General features: G+C 51.4%; 1 protein-coding gene across 4 annotated transcripts in view; it reads right to left on the bottom strand.

Annotated features, from left to right (window-relative positions):
- OSBPL2 (oxysterol binding protein like 2) overlaps positions 1-14,009 on the bottom strand; it is a 57,663-nt gene that overhangs the window by 17,811 nt on the left and 25,843 nt on the right. For 2 of the 4 annotated variants that reach the window (NM_001363878.2, NM_001278649.3), the window contains 3 exons: positions 13,655-13,744; positions 6,114-6,248; positions 4,967-5,064 (listed from right to left, as the gene is read on the bottom strand). In NM_001363878.2, coding sequence (NP_001350807.1) covers positions 4,967-5,064; positions 6,114-6,230 — 215 coding nt within the window. In that variant the 5' untranslated portion in view covers positions 6,231-6,248; positions 13,655-13,744. The remainder of the gene's footprint in view (positions 1-4,966; positions 5,065-6,113; positions 6,249-13,654; positions 13,745-14,009) is intronic. The other 2 variants (NM_144498.4, NM_014835.5) reach the window with 1 other exon arrangement.

Here is a 14,009-nt window from a genome sequence, read left to right as displayed (position 1 = left end):
ACAAACACGACATCGCACTTGGCCTAATGTTGGCAACAGACACACACACAAACACGACATCGCACTTGGCCTAACGCTGGCAACAGACACACACACAAACATGACATCGCACTCGGCCTAACGTTGGCAACAGACACACACACAAACATGACATCGCACTTGGCCTAACGCTGGCAACAGACACACACACACATGGCTTCCAGAGCACATCTGACCCACCCAGAGAGCGCAATGGTGCAGGAGAGGCCTCCACCCTGATGCCCCGCTTGCTCTCCACCTGAGCCACAGCAGTGTCTGGCTAGAGGTACCCAGAGACGCAGGTGGAGAAGCAATCCTTACACACCTCTGACTCCAAACCCTCAACCCCGAGGGACTCCCATTGCCCAGGAACTCAGGACCCTAAACCCTTTCTGAAGGGGGTGCCCCTTCCTTGTCTTTCTACAAGGCCCCTGAAATTTCCGAGATGGAATGGCTTATACCCCAAAATACTCCTGTCCAGGAACAGGATTTTTAGTGTACTCTCTTTTTCAATCAAAATGTCAGCTTTTAATTGTTCCGGAACTGTGAATACACCTACAGTTGTAGTCATTAAAAATTAGAAAAGCTAAACCACATAATTACCAACTTAACTGGAATCAGAATTTCCAATCATTACAGAAGAAAGAAAGTTGAAAAATTAGATTTTAAAAGGTTGACTACCAAGGTATGTAATTTACAAAATGAATACTTGTCTGAGAAAAGAATGTGTATTTTTAGCTATAACAAGGGATCTGTAGGGATCCAGGGTATCAGGAAAGGACTTGGTCCACGTCCATGGCCCCTAACCTGACAGACTGCCAGGGTCTCACAGACACACAGCACATGGCAGACACTGGCAAGGACGATCTGGAAGTGAACTCATGACAGACGACGTGTCTCGGCGTTGCGAAGGTGCATAGCTTGCTTCTGGCTGTGCAGCAGGAGCTCCGGCCCCGGGTGCAGCCCCTGGGGAAGGGTGCTGGCGGCACGCCCCGCTCTACCCAGCCCAGGCGGCTTGCATTCCTTTCACCCACAAGGCTTCTTCTCTATCATCTAGAACTTCTTTCCTCTTCTGATTTATCTTTTTCTTTTTCTTTTTTTGAGATGGAATCTCAAAATCTCTGTCGCCCAGGCTGGAGTGCAGTGGCGTGATCTCGGCTCACTGCAACCTCCGCCTCCAGGTTCAAGTGATTCTCCAGCCTCAGCCTCCCGAGTAGCTGGGATTACAGGCACCCGCCACCACGCCCGGCTAATTTTTTGTATTTTTTAGCAGAAACGAGGTTTCACCATGTCGGCCAGGCTAGTCTCGAACTCCTGACCTCAGGCAATCTGCCTACCTCAACCTCTCAAAGTGCTGGGATTACAGGCGTGAGCCACCACGCCCGGCCTGATTTATCTTTTTCAAGACATTTTAATAATTTTTTAAGAGCCAATCCCGTCAATGCCTCTGACAGTGGCACAGCACGCTGACCAGAGGACGAGAAGGCTGGCAGGCAGCAACAGGAATACTGCTCAAGAGAAATATCTAGAAAAGGAAGCACACTCTACATGAATTCAGAACAGAAGACTCCCTCACAAGTGGTTCTCGTGGCCAGTCTTTCCCTTGTCCAGGCCTCAGCCTCCCCTTTCCCAGAAGCAGAAGCAGGGCTGCTCCCTGCAGCTTGTGCCAAGACCGACAGTTGCCTGCTGGACCCTGCTGTCACCACGCCACACTCTGTCCAAACTAGTCCTACTTGCTCAAAGGCAATGACATCTTGAGAACAGGTGCTCGGCTGCCCAGTGCCAGCCAACTTCTAAATCAGACAAAAAACACAAAGTTGGCATTCACGCACGGGCAGCATGTGGGTAAGGACCAGCAGCTGACCCAGCCAGGATGAGCCAGGAACAGATTAGAATTTGAAGCTGTGACATTTATGTTGCTTCTCCAAACTGCATAGTGATTTATATACAGAAGTGCAGGAAAGCTTGTACTACTAACAACGCATCCTCCCAAAATGGTCTGACAGGCAGTGCTGACACACCTTCTAGGACAAACATGGGCACGCACTTTTAAACTCTTTACACACTGGAAAAGAGTCCATCTGAAGCAAACCAAATCCCACAACCATTTGCTCACTATTGATAAAAATCTCAATCATGGCCAGGCGTGGTGGCTCACGCCTGTAATCCCAGCACTTTGGGAGGCCAAGGTGGGCAGATCACCTGAGGTTGGGAGTTCGACACCAGCCTGGCCAACAAGGTGAAACCCTGTCTCTACTGAAAACACGAAAATTAGCCGGGCCTGGTGGCGTGCACCTGTAATCCCAACTACTCAGGAAGCTGAGGCGGAGAATCAGGAGAATTGCTTGAACCAGCAGGCGGAGGTTGCAGCGAGTGGAGATCATGCCACTGCCCTCCAGCCTGGGCAACCAATGGAGATTCCGTCTCAAAAAAAAAAAAAAATTCTCAATCATTAATAACACATAAAATACAATAAAGGGCCCCAAAACAGCGGCCTTAAGTTTCAAAGGAACTGCACTTCTTGGAACCCAAGATGCCATTCATTGCACTGCACACCATTATTTTATGAAAGAAAGAAAAAAATGCTGCAAATGAAACTATGACTTGGACTGGGCACAGAGGCTCACACCTGTAATCCTAGCACTTTGGGAGGCTGAGGGAGGCAGATCACTTGAGCTCAGGAGTTCAAGAGCAGCCTGGGCAACACAGCAAAACCCTGTCTCTACTGAAAATACAAAAATTAGCTGGGCATGGTGGCGCACGCCTGTAGTTCCAGCTACTTGGGAGGCTGAGGTGGGAAGATAACTTGAGCCCAGGAGGTCGAGGCTACAGTGAGCTGTGATCATATCCAGGAGGTTAAGGCAGGAGGTCGAGGCTACAGTGAGCCGTGATCATGTCACTGAACTTCAGCCTGGGCGACAGAGTGAGACCTCGTCTCAAAAAAAAAAAAAGGAACAAGAAACTGACATGTAGAAGTGCTGCCACGTGAACAAGGCGTCTTAGAATCGATGAAACACTCTAATTTAGAAAAAGTTTTTAATGTCACAGGAAAATTATGACATGTTAAAAAGGGATACAAATTAAATTATCATATTTTGAAACACACACAAAAGAAAGTCTAACAAAATGCTGACAGTTCCTCTCATTTTTTTTAAAGAGACACGGTCTGGCTCTGTAGTCCAGGTTAGAGTTCAGTGGCACGGTCACTGTAACTGAACTCCTGGGCTCAAGTGATGCTCCTGCCTCGCCTCCTGAGTTGCAGGTATTCCAGGCGTGAGCCCAGCCAGCTATTGTCTTGTATGGGATTATGCCTGATTCATCTTTTCTACCTTTCTCAATGTTACACATTTTCTATAAAGAGCACTCTCTCGTAATTAAAAAAACAAACAGACTTCATAATAAAATAACCCAACAGAATCTCAACTAACCCAGAATCCAAATAAGAGGCTAATTGTTTTGGCTCAACTCCCTTTTTCACAGAAAAATAATAAAACAAGATGATAAAGGAGCCCGCCTTCCCTCCCGTCTGCACTCTGTTCCTGGGCAGGGAGGCGTGCAGCCCAGCAGCCTGTGGCAAACAGCTTGCATTCTGCACAGCAGACTTGTCTAGATAACCACCCACGCCCCTCCAGCTCCTTCTCCCCAGGCAGGCGGAGCGAGCTCTGTGTGCTGGGCTCCACTGACAGTCAGAAGAGTGAAGGGTGTCCCACCAGCAAGCTCCTTCTTCCCAGAGTGAGCTCTGTGTGCTGGGCTACCTCGACAGTCGGAAGACTGAAGGGTGCAGCGAGAGTGCCCTGCCCCTCCCTCCTTCAGAACCACAGCTTAGCCCTGTCACAGAGACAGCAGCTGAACTGTGCTCTGCTGACTCTCCCTACACATCTGCCCATGGGCACCTGCATGCATCTACAAGAGAATGACGGGGTCCACGGGCAGTGGAATAAAAATCATTTTAGACATCACCAAACGGCCCTGAAGGAAGCCACCCACATCCCTCTCATCCACAGCTCCCCGGAGCCCCAGCCAGGCTGCTCAATGGCTGAGGAATTACCACACTGCCACATACATGCCATGGTCTGGCCTGCTTTTGACTTCATTTGTTGGTGTGGGTGGGCACTGTCACCTGGGCAGAATCCCAGGATGATTCTGTGAATAACCACAGCAGTCCCCAGGGCAACCAGGTGGGTGAAGAGAACCCCAACCAGTCCTTCCAGAGGCCCAGCCACAAACAACGGATCTGGGGCCCGGCTGGACCTCTGGGGTCAGAGTTCTAGGACTTGGAGTCAGTCTCACGTCTGTGAGGTGAGGGCCACCAGAGACAGGAGGGAAGCTGGGGAGACTCTAGGAAGGGATGGCAACGCTGCCTAGAAGAAAGTTCCATAGGAAGAAGTTTCAGGGATGTCTGGAGATGAGGCGTGGTCTGGTTAACTCTCCCTTGGCCAGAGCCGTCTGACCCTTCCTAAAACTCTGGGGAGGCTGTGGTGGCAAACGTGGCCTTGGGAGTGAAGCTCCTCTTTGCAATCATTCCTGTGTTTGGATTTACCTGCTTTTTCAATAGCGTTCACTAAATGCTTTAGTGAAACAGCCTAGTTTTGCTCATTAGTACCTATTTCCATTTTCGGTGAAGCTCACAACAATCCTACACATTTCACAGACGTCGCACACACACACGGAAGCGTCTACAGTGCGCGCTATCTCCACGCTTGAGTCGAACACACTAAAATATCTCATTGCCAGCGCTTTACACTCACTCAGACGCCGTGGCACGCTAGCACAACACCCCGTGTGTGTGAAACATCTCGCCTACAGCATCCAAACGCTTTCGTGAGCTCTTAATTCAAACAGTTTATTCTCAGAGCAGAGGAATCAATGCTAGTGAAAGAATCAAACTTATCTGTCATCCAAGGAATTCCATTTACAAGATATTTATGATGGGCCTTTCCCCCCTTACCTGATTAATTCATACGTTTCTCCCAAGAGTGGATTAAATGGTTTGCCGGTCCTCTCCCACTGGGAAGCCACAGCCGAAACAGCAAAAGCAGCCACAGACTGTAAATAATCCACGGGGGGGACAGGCACAGCTTCAGTTAGGAAACGCGCTGGAGAAGATGGCCTCTTGTGGAGGGCGGTGGGCACCTGGTTTCTGTCACTATTTGTTCCGTGTGCGTTTTCAGTTTTCCCCGAGCAGTGTGTCTGAGATTATAGGACTTCCAGGGAATGCCCTTCATCACCCGCCACTCCCCCGACAGCACAGAAAGAAGGAACTGGGTGCTGCCTTCCACCCCCGGAGCCAGGCCCTTCTGGCAGATGCTGCAGCAATGTCAGCCACTCCGTCTGATATGCACACACAAGGCCACACACTCAACACACACACCCCAAGCACTCATTCACAGAGGCATGCGCACACACGTGCACACGTTATGTGCACCCACAGTCACACACTTGTATTTTGTTATTTTTTAGACACAGGGTCTCACTCTGTCACCCAGGCTGGAGTGCAGTGGCGTAATCGTGGCTCACTGTAGCCTCTAGCTCCTGGGCACAAGCGATCCTCTCTCATCAGCCTCCCAAGTAGCTGGCATTGCAGGCATGCAACACTGCACCTGGCTAAGTTTTAAAAAATTTTTGTAGAGATGCGGTCTCACTGTGTTGCCTCAGCTGGTCTCAACCTCCAGGAGCAATTCATCCACCTCAGCCTCCCGAAGTGTTGGGATTACAGGCATGAGCCACCGTGCGTGCCCAGCCCACAGTCACACACATGCACACACATGGGGTGCGGTGGTGCAACAGGACCCAAGAGAAGCCCAAGGGCAGAGCCCACCGCCACCTTCAGCTCCAAGAGGCGGAGTCTCCCGGCAGGAGGCGGCAGCAGGGAGCTCTTGGGGCCACTGAGAGCTCAATGGCATTTCCGGCAAGTTCTGTCATCACACACCTGTGGTGACAGGACAAATGCCACGACCGCCAGGCAGGATGGCACTGAACACTGGGGGGAGCTGTGCGAGTCCTCACAGATGCCTGGGGCCCCAAGACTGTGTGGCCAGACATGCAAGGGGCATCACTTTCATGACAAACTCCTGCCTGGCACCCCTAAGGCCCACCTGCATCCTCTCCAGGGGCTGGGGCTGGCAGGAGGCCCTGTGGATGAGGTACACGTGCTCCATGTACTCCGTGATCCGCTGCAAGAAGCTCAGAGGCTCGTTGAAGGCGATTGGCATCGTGATCTTGGACAGCTCCTGGAAAGATGGGGAAGACTCGCTGGTTACTGCTGCCTTCCTGACACCGCTGGGCTGCCCGATGCCCCTGCTCTGAGCATCCCTTCATGGAGCCGCAGCCTCTGGGGTTGAACCGGATCTTCAAACCCCCCATGGGTGAGCCACTCCCTGCCCCATCGGCCCTGCCCTGTGAGCCTCAGCTGCCATCAGACCTGACACACAATCTGTGCTGAGCCTGCAGAGGTCTCTGGCATGACACCCCTGAATCCTCTCTGCCTCCCCAGCCCACCGCCCCATTCCAGACACAGAGACTGCCACAAGGGCTCTTGGGCCCACCTGCGCCCCCTCCCCTACTCCACATCTTCTCCACCCCACTTCCAGAGTAGTGGTCCCAGGCTGGGCACGGTGGCTCACACCTAAAATCCAAGCACCCTGGGAGGCCGAGGCGGGTGGATCCCTTGAGGTCAGGAGTTCAAGACCAGTCTGGCCAACACAGCGAAACCCTGTCTATACTAAAAATTCAAAAATTAGCTGTGCATGGTGGCGCACACCTGTAATCCCAGCTACTCGGGAGGCTGAGGCAGGAGAATCGCTTGAACCCAGGAGGTGAAGGTTGCGGTGAGCCGATATTATGCTATTGCCCTCCAGCCTGGGAGACAGAGCCAGACTCCGTCTCAAAAACAAAAAAACAGAGTAGTGGTCCCAGGCAGAGCCACCCACGCCGTTAAAAATAGTCCCTGGCTTCCCGTCCCTCCAGGATGCCTCGGACACACCTGAACCTGGCAAATGAGGCCTCCCATAACATGGCTCCATGTGGCTTTCCCCTAAGGCCTTCCGAGTTGGCAAAGGAGTCTCAGGTGTCTGCTCCCAGGCCCTGGACGGCAGGGCGCATGGCTTAGTGGGGGAAGCTGGGAAGGTGCCAAGGGGACGAGTGCCCACAGGGGCCACTCTTCCCACCGGGCTTCCAGGAAAGGGATCCCAAGGGCAGTAGGCATTCCAGGGAAACACAGCTGTCACCTCAGGGCAGGCTCTTCAGGAAGGAGCAGGGTCTGGGGTGGGCAAAGCAGAGGCAGAGGGAGAGGGACAAGGAGAGAAGGAGAGGACCAGAGAGACCAGAAAGGGACAAGGAAAGGACCCAGAGAGGCCAGAGAGGGACAAGGAGAGGACCCAGAGAGGCCAGAGAGGGACAAGGAGAGGACCCAGAGAGGGACAAGGAGAGGACCCAGAGAGGCCAGAGAGGGACAAGGAGAGGACCCAGAGAGGCCAGAGAGGGACAAGGAGAGGACCCAGAGAGGGACAAGGAGAGGACCCAGAGAGGCCAGAGAGGGACAAGGAGAGGACCCAGAGAGGCCAGAGAGGGACAAGGAGAGGACCCAGAGAGGGACAAGGAGAGGACCCAGAGAGGCCAGAGAGGGACAAGGAGAGGACCCAGAGAGGCCAGAGAGGGACAAGGAGAGGACCCAGAGAGGGACAAGGAGAGGACCCAGAGAGGGACAAGGAGAGGACCCAGAGAGGTCAGAGAGGACCCAGAGAGGCCAGAGAGGGACAAGGAGAGGACCCAGAGAGGGACAAGGAGAGGACCCAGAGAGGCCAGGAGGGACAAGGAGAGGACCCAGAGAGGGACAAGGAGAGGACCCAGAGAGGCCAGAGAGGGACAAGGAGAGGACCCAGAGAGGGACAAGGAGAGGACCCAGAGAGGCCAGAGAGGGACAAGGAGAGGACCCAGAGAGGCCAGAGAGGGACAAGGAGAGGACCCAGAGAGGTCAGGGAGGGACAAGGAGAGGACCCAGAGAGGCCAGGAGGGACAAGGAGAGGACCCAGAGAGGCCAGGAGGGAGTGGAGGAGGAGGTGCTAGTGGCAACAGGGACATGGCAGGCTTTGGAATCCACTTGCTGTGGGTTCCCAGCTGACACACACATGAGCTGCTAAGCCTCTCAGGCTCCTCGTCTGCACCAGGGACTAGGACGGCCCCACCAAGGCCTCAGGACACCACAGGCACTGCATGCGCAGGGTGGACGGAGGGTGGGCGGGGTGTGCACAGCACCACAAGGACGCGCTCTGCCTGGGCCGCGAGGTTCCCAAAACTCAGCGTCCGTGCTGGGAGGGGGGCTCTGCTCAGACACTGGGTCAAGGACGAGTGCAGGGACCGAGGCTGAGAGCACAGGGCAGACGCACAGAGCCTGCGGCTCAGGCTGCTGCAGGGGCGAGCAGGCCCCAGATGGCACTGGACACACGGGGACTGTGGGCTTAGGAGGGGCTAGAACTGGATTCCAACTGAGGCAGCCCCGGCACATGGGTGTGGCCAAGACTGCACAAGGGAATGTGGCTGCCGAGGAAAGCAGGAAGAGAGGTGACCCTTGTGATCAGAGCTCGGCACTGCAAGAACACGTGGCAGAGAAAGAAGGAAGCCCCGAAAGAATGAGCAGAAAAGCAGACAGATGGGGGAGCATTTGCAATTTACATTCCAGACCAGGATCAACAGCCTCCCGTGCTCTAAACGCCTGGTAAACTAGAAGAGGCCACAGTCCACAGCGGCCAGAGATTGGGACCAGGGAGGCCGGGAAGTGCGGCCGGTGGCAGCCCTGAGCATGGGGGAGACGCTGCCTTGCTCAGGAGAGGAGAGATGGTATCGCAACTGTGTGCAACTCCCACCCAGGGAAAGCCCCCCGGCTGCTGTGGAAATGCACAGTGATGCAGCCCCACGAGGGGACTGGGCTGCTTCTAGCAAACTCTACGGGTATTTGCCCCTGACCCAGCAGCCCCACTTCTAGGAACCTATCCCACAGAGCCTCGGCCAAACACACATGCAGGGCTCTTTGCTGCCGCACGGCTGGATCCATGAAAGATCAGAAATGACCCGTATGTCCAACAACAGGGCGCCAGTCCAATAAGCTAGGTGGCAGCCATGTGAGGGAGCGCCGCGCCATTAAAAGATTCAGAAGTCGGCCAGGCGAGATGGCTCACGCCTGTAATTCCAACACTTTGCAGGGCCAAGGCGGGGAGGATCACTTAAGGCCAGGAGTTTAAGACCAGCCTGGGCAACAAAGTGAGACCCCGTCTCTACAAAAAAACATTTTTTTTTTTTTTGAGTTGGAGTCTCACACTGTCGCCTAGGCAGCAGTGCAATGGTGTGATCTCGGCTCAGTGCAACCTCTCCGCCTCCTGGGTTCAAGCGATTCGCCTGCCTCAGCCTCCCAAGTAGCTGGGATTACAGGCATGCACTGCCACACCCGGCTAATTTTTTGTATTTTTAGTAGAGACAGGGTTTCACTATGTTGACCAGACTGGTCTCGAACTCCTGACTTCGTGATCCGCCTGCCTCAGACTCCTAAAGTGCTGGGATTACAGGCGTGAGCCACTGCCAAAAAATTTTTTAAAAGTAGCTGGGCATGGTGGTGGGTTCCTGTAGTCCCAGCTACTCCAGAGGCTCATGTGGGAGGTTCACTTAAGCCCAGGAGTTTGAGGTTACAATGAGCCATGATCCTGCCACTGCACTCCAGACTGGGCGACACAGCAAGACTCAGTCTCTAAAAAGAAATAATAAATAAATAAATAGATTAAGAAGTCACTGCATGTTGCTATGGATATACTATTGAATTTTAAAAGGTGGAGAAAGCCTCTCATTTATGTAAAGAAGTGGGGAGAAGTGGGGAGAAGATACATGTAGAATCAGCTGTGTGACGCATGAAAGACATGCCCTAAACTTGGCTCCTGGTCACCTGTGGGGAAAGCAGAGAGCACCAGGAGGGGACAGGGACAGGAAGCTGACTCTCCTGGAATATACCTTGCTTGATAAATTTGATGCAGGACCCATAATTTAAAAAGAAAATTAAATTTTAAAAAGTCATCTCTCAATATCAAAAATGAAACAAATGAACCTATGTCATTCCTTTGGTGGCACAATCACCCAGCGAAGAAGCACCCAGGTGGTTTTAAAATGCAGTCATTTGGCCGGGCGCGGTGGCTCACGCTTGTAATCCCAACACTTTGGGAGGCCGAGGTGGGCGGATCACAAGGTCAGGAGTTTGAGACCAGCCTGGCCAATAAGGTGAAACCCCGTATCTACTAAAAATACAAAAAAAAAAAAAAAAAAAAATTAGCCGGGCACGGTGGCAGGCGCCTGTAGTCCCAGCTACTCAGGAGGCTGAGGCAGGAGAATTGCTTGAACCCAGGAGGCAGAGGTTGCAGTGAGCTGAGATCGCGCCACTGCACTCTAGCCTGGGCGACAGAGCGAGACTCCCTCAAAAAAATAAATAAATAAAAAATAATGCAGACATTTGAGATATACCCTGAAGACAATGACAAGTGGCAACTGCAGGAGGCACAGACATGTGCTGTCTCAGCAAAGACACTGTCGGCAGCAGAGCTGGTCCCACAGGTATGTGGGGCAAAGTGAGTGAGTCACAACTGCGTGCCGGTCTAAATCTGTCCTCGCCAGGGCTGCAGAAAACTGGGACTGTCAGTGAGGGAGAAAAGAGACGCAGACATGAGGCCGCAGAGGTTAGGTGGAGCCTGTTGGCCCAAATTTGAAGCATCACTGAAACAAACAAAAACACAGTTCCTAGCTGTAGGAACAGACCTCGAAATAAGACTACCCCGGTGGCCTCCTGAGAGCCCGGCTGTGGTCCTGAATTCTCCTTCTCTCCCTGGACAAGTAGATGATGCCAGACCCCAAACAGTAAACGCACAGGATAGGCCTGAAGCTCCTTTTGTAAAGGACTCCGGGCCACCTTGAAGAGACTCTCACTGACCAAAGATGGAACAATTTGTGGACTGGAAGACATCCAGAACTATCCCCGGCAATCAATAAAGGGTGATCATGTTGGCACAGCTCCAACTAGCAACTCCCAGTGAGTTAGTGGACCCAGACTCTGAGCGCCCACAGCTTTGTTTGTTTGTTAGAGACAGGGTCTCACTCTGTCACCCAGGCTGGAGTGTAGTAATGTGATCACCAGTCACTGCAGCCTCAACCTCCCAGGCTCAAGTGATCCTCCTACATCAGCCACCCGAGTAGCTGGGAGCCCAGGCATGCGCCACCATGCCCGGCTAATTCTTTTTTGTAGAGATGGGATCTCACTTTGTTGCCCGGGCTGGTTCTGAACCCGTAGCCTCGAGCGATCCTCTCGCCTCAGCCTCTGACAGTGATTATAGGCGTGAGCCGTCGCACGCCTGGCCTGCCCACAGCTTTTAAATTCAGAGAAAGAGCAACAAAAAGGCTTCCTGACAGAGGGACACAAACAAGGTCCAGACACAGGACTGCAAACACCAGAGGGCAACACGTGAGACCACTGGACATTTGAACATAGATTGAGTATCTGATGATATTAAATGACTTTCTAAAGTTATTTTCTAAAGTATAATAATAATATCACAGTCACATTAAAAAAGAATCCTTACCCTTTAAATATACATAAGAAATATTTACAAACAAAAGATGTCTGGAATTTGCTTCAAAATACGAGGGAGGAGAGAAGTGGGGGGTGTGGACCAAACAGAAAGAGCCACAGCCCGTCACTGCAGATCCAGAATGAGCCACAGCCAATCACTGCGGATCCAGAACGAGCCACAGCCAATCACCTCGGATCCAGAACGAGCCACAGCCAATCACTGCAGATCCAGAACGAGCCACAGCCAATCACTGCGGATCCAGAACGAGCCACAGCCAATCACTGCAGATCCAGCTATGGGGACATGAGCTCACCACTGTCTGAGTCTGTCTATGTTGGGACTGTCCACGTTGCCAAGTGTGCTTGTGTTTTTTCAATACAAGCTGAGAAGTAGTAAAAAGAGTGGAGTGCCACCAAAGCCTCCAAAGGGGAGTGTTTCAAAGTGAAGTGTAAGGGGTGGAGCTGCCCCACAAGGCCCCTCCCAGCGCCTTTCTACTATGCTTGCCAGTCCTACGTGCTCACATGAAACTTTCACCTCAATCTCTCCACAACCCTCACCTAGGGAATGCAATATACATCACTTCATGTTGTTGAAAAGATGCTTTTGGTCCTAGAATCTTTATTTATTTTTTTTTAAGAGACAAGGTTTCCCTCTGTCATCTAGGCTGGAGCACAGTGGTGAAATCACAGTTCACTGCAGCCTCAAACTCCTGGGCTCAAGCCATCCTCCTGTCTCAGCCTCCCCAGTAACTGGATGACAGACATGTGCCACCATGCCTGGCTAATCTTTTAAATTTTTTTGTAGAGTTGGGGTCTCACTATGTTGCCCAGGCTCTGGTCTCAAGCTCCTGGCCTCAAGCAATCCTCTTCCCTCAGCTTTCCTGAGGGCATGAGCTACTACCACACCCAGCCTGTCTCAGAATTTAAGAGAGTCAAAATTAGGTGGTTTGTCAAGTTCACAAAAGACATTCCTCATCTATACCAAGACAGATATTTTTGTCAAGACCTGAATTATCCACATAGTCAAAAATGTACAAAAAACATTGCAGAAAAGAGAAAAAAAATCTCAAATGGTTTATTTTAAAAGAAACATACAGATATATACAGAAATACAGATGTGTATGCATGAGCATTAGCACACTCGTATTTTCCAGTGCTGTCTGCTGAGAGGGCCTGCAGGCAATGATACCTCAGCAGCAATGAGCTCACCCAGCACTGGATTGTGGTTTCTAAACACCATTACCCAGTGAATGGGCTCCCTGGGGAAGTGGCTGATTCCAGGGTTAAGGCAGGGAAAATATAAGCTGAACTAGAGCATTCTTTAGTGCCTGAAATAAGTGTTCAGAAAAGGATGGGGGTTCAGCAGAAGGGGGAAACCAACCTAGAAGAACTCTCAACACCAAAGGTAGAACACTTTGAGCAATTATTTATAGTCCGTAAATAAGGACTATACTGGAATTCAACTCACAGAATAAAATACATGCTCATGAGTTCATACTAATACAAATAAATAACTGAATAAATATATAATTAGGGGAGAAGGGACAGCTCTCCTTTACAGAACAATTCCAATTAATAAAGGTAGAAGAACGAACGAGAATGGAAAATCTCCATTAGAATGATTTCAGTAAAACCCACCAATGGATGCTACAATTGGCAAGCAGAATCCAAGTGTCTTCCCTAAAACATTGATTACAAAGAGAAATGCAGCAACTTTGCAGTGGAGACACTTGACCAAGTGATCAGGTTAACAGTCCCACTAACAAGACATGCGGCTATCACAGAGCCCCTCAGACAAGGCCCTGGCAAGGGTACCTCACTTCTGTGTGTGCCAAAAATACAGAACCTCATTCTAAGAAGAAAACATCAGACAAACCCAAATTAAGGAAAAGTCCACTAAGTAACAGACCAGAGCAGCTGCCACCAAGTGGAGGAGCCCAAATGCCATGAGGGTCCTGGGACAGGAAACGACATCGGGGACACTGAGGAAATACAAGTGACATGTGGAGCTAAGATGCATTTCTTGCTTTGGTCACTGACCTATGGTTATTCCGAGAGATGCCGGCATCAGGGGAGCTGGGTGGTGGGTCTACAGGAATGCTCTGTGCTATTTTGTGATTTTCCGTAAGTCTAAAATTATTTCAAAATAAAAAGTTAAGAAAAAGTGAAGTTCCCTCTGGAAAAAAAAAGGACTAAAACAGATAAGGGCAAAAAATCACCAGCACTAGAAGACATGGTCTGGGCAAGAGTGACACGTATTCCCAGGCCATGTGAGTTTTCAGGCATCAAGCGCTGGCCCAGGAACCAGCACGGTACAGGAGGCACGGGACACTCCCCGCCCCTGTGAGGCACAGCTTGGGTTCTCACAGTCAGGAAAGATCATGAAAGGGAAAGT

Source organism: Homo sapiens, chromosome 20, assembly GCF_000001405.40.
Source record: "Homo sapiens chromosome 20, GRCh38.p14 Primary Assembly".
Taxonomy (NCBI): Eukaryota; Metazoa; Chordata; class Mammalia; order Primates; family Hominidae; genus Homo; species Homo sapiens.
Note: the sequence above shows the minus strand (reverse complement) of the source record. Positions and strands in the feature narration are given on the sequence as shown.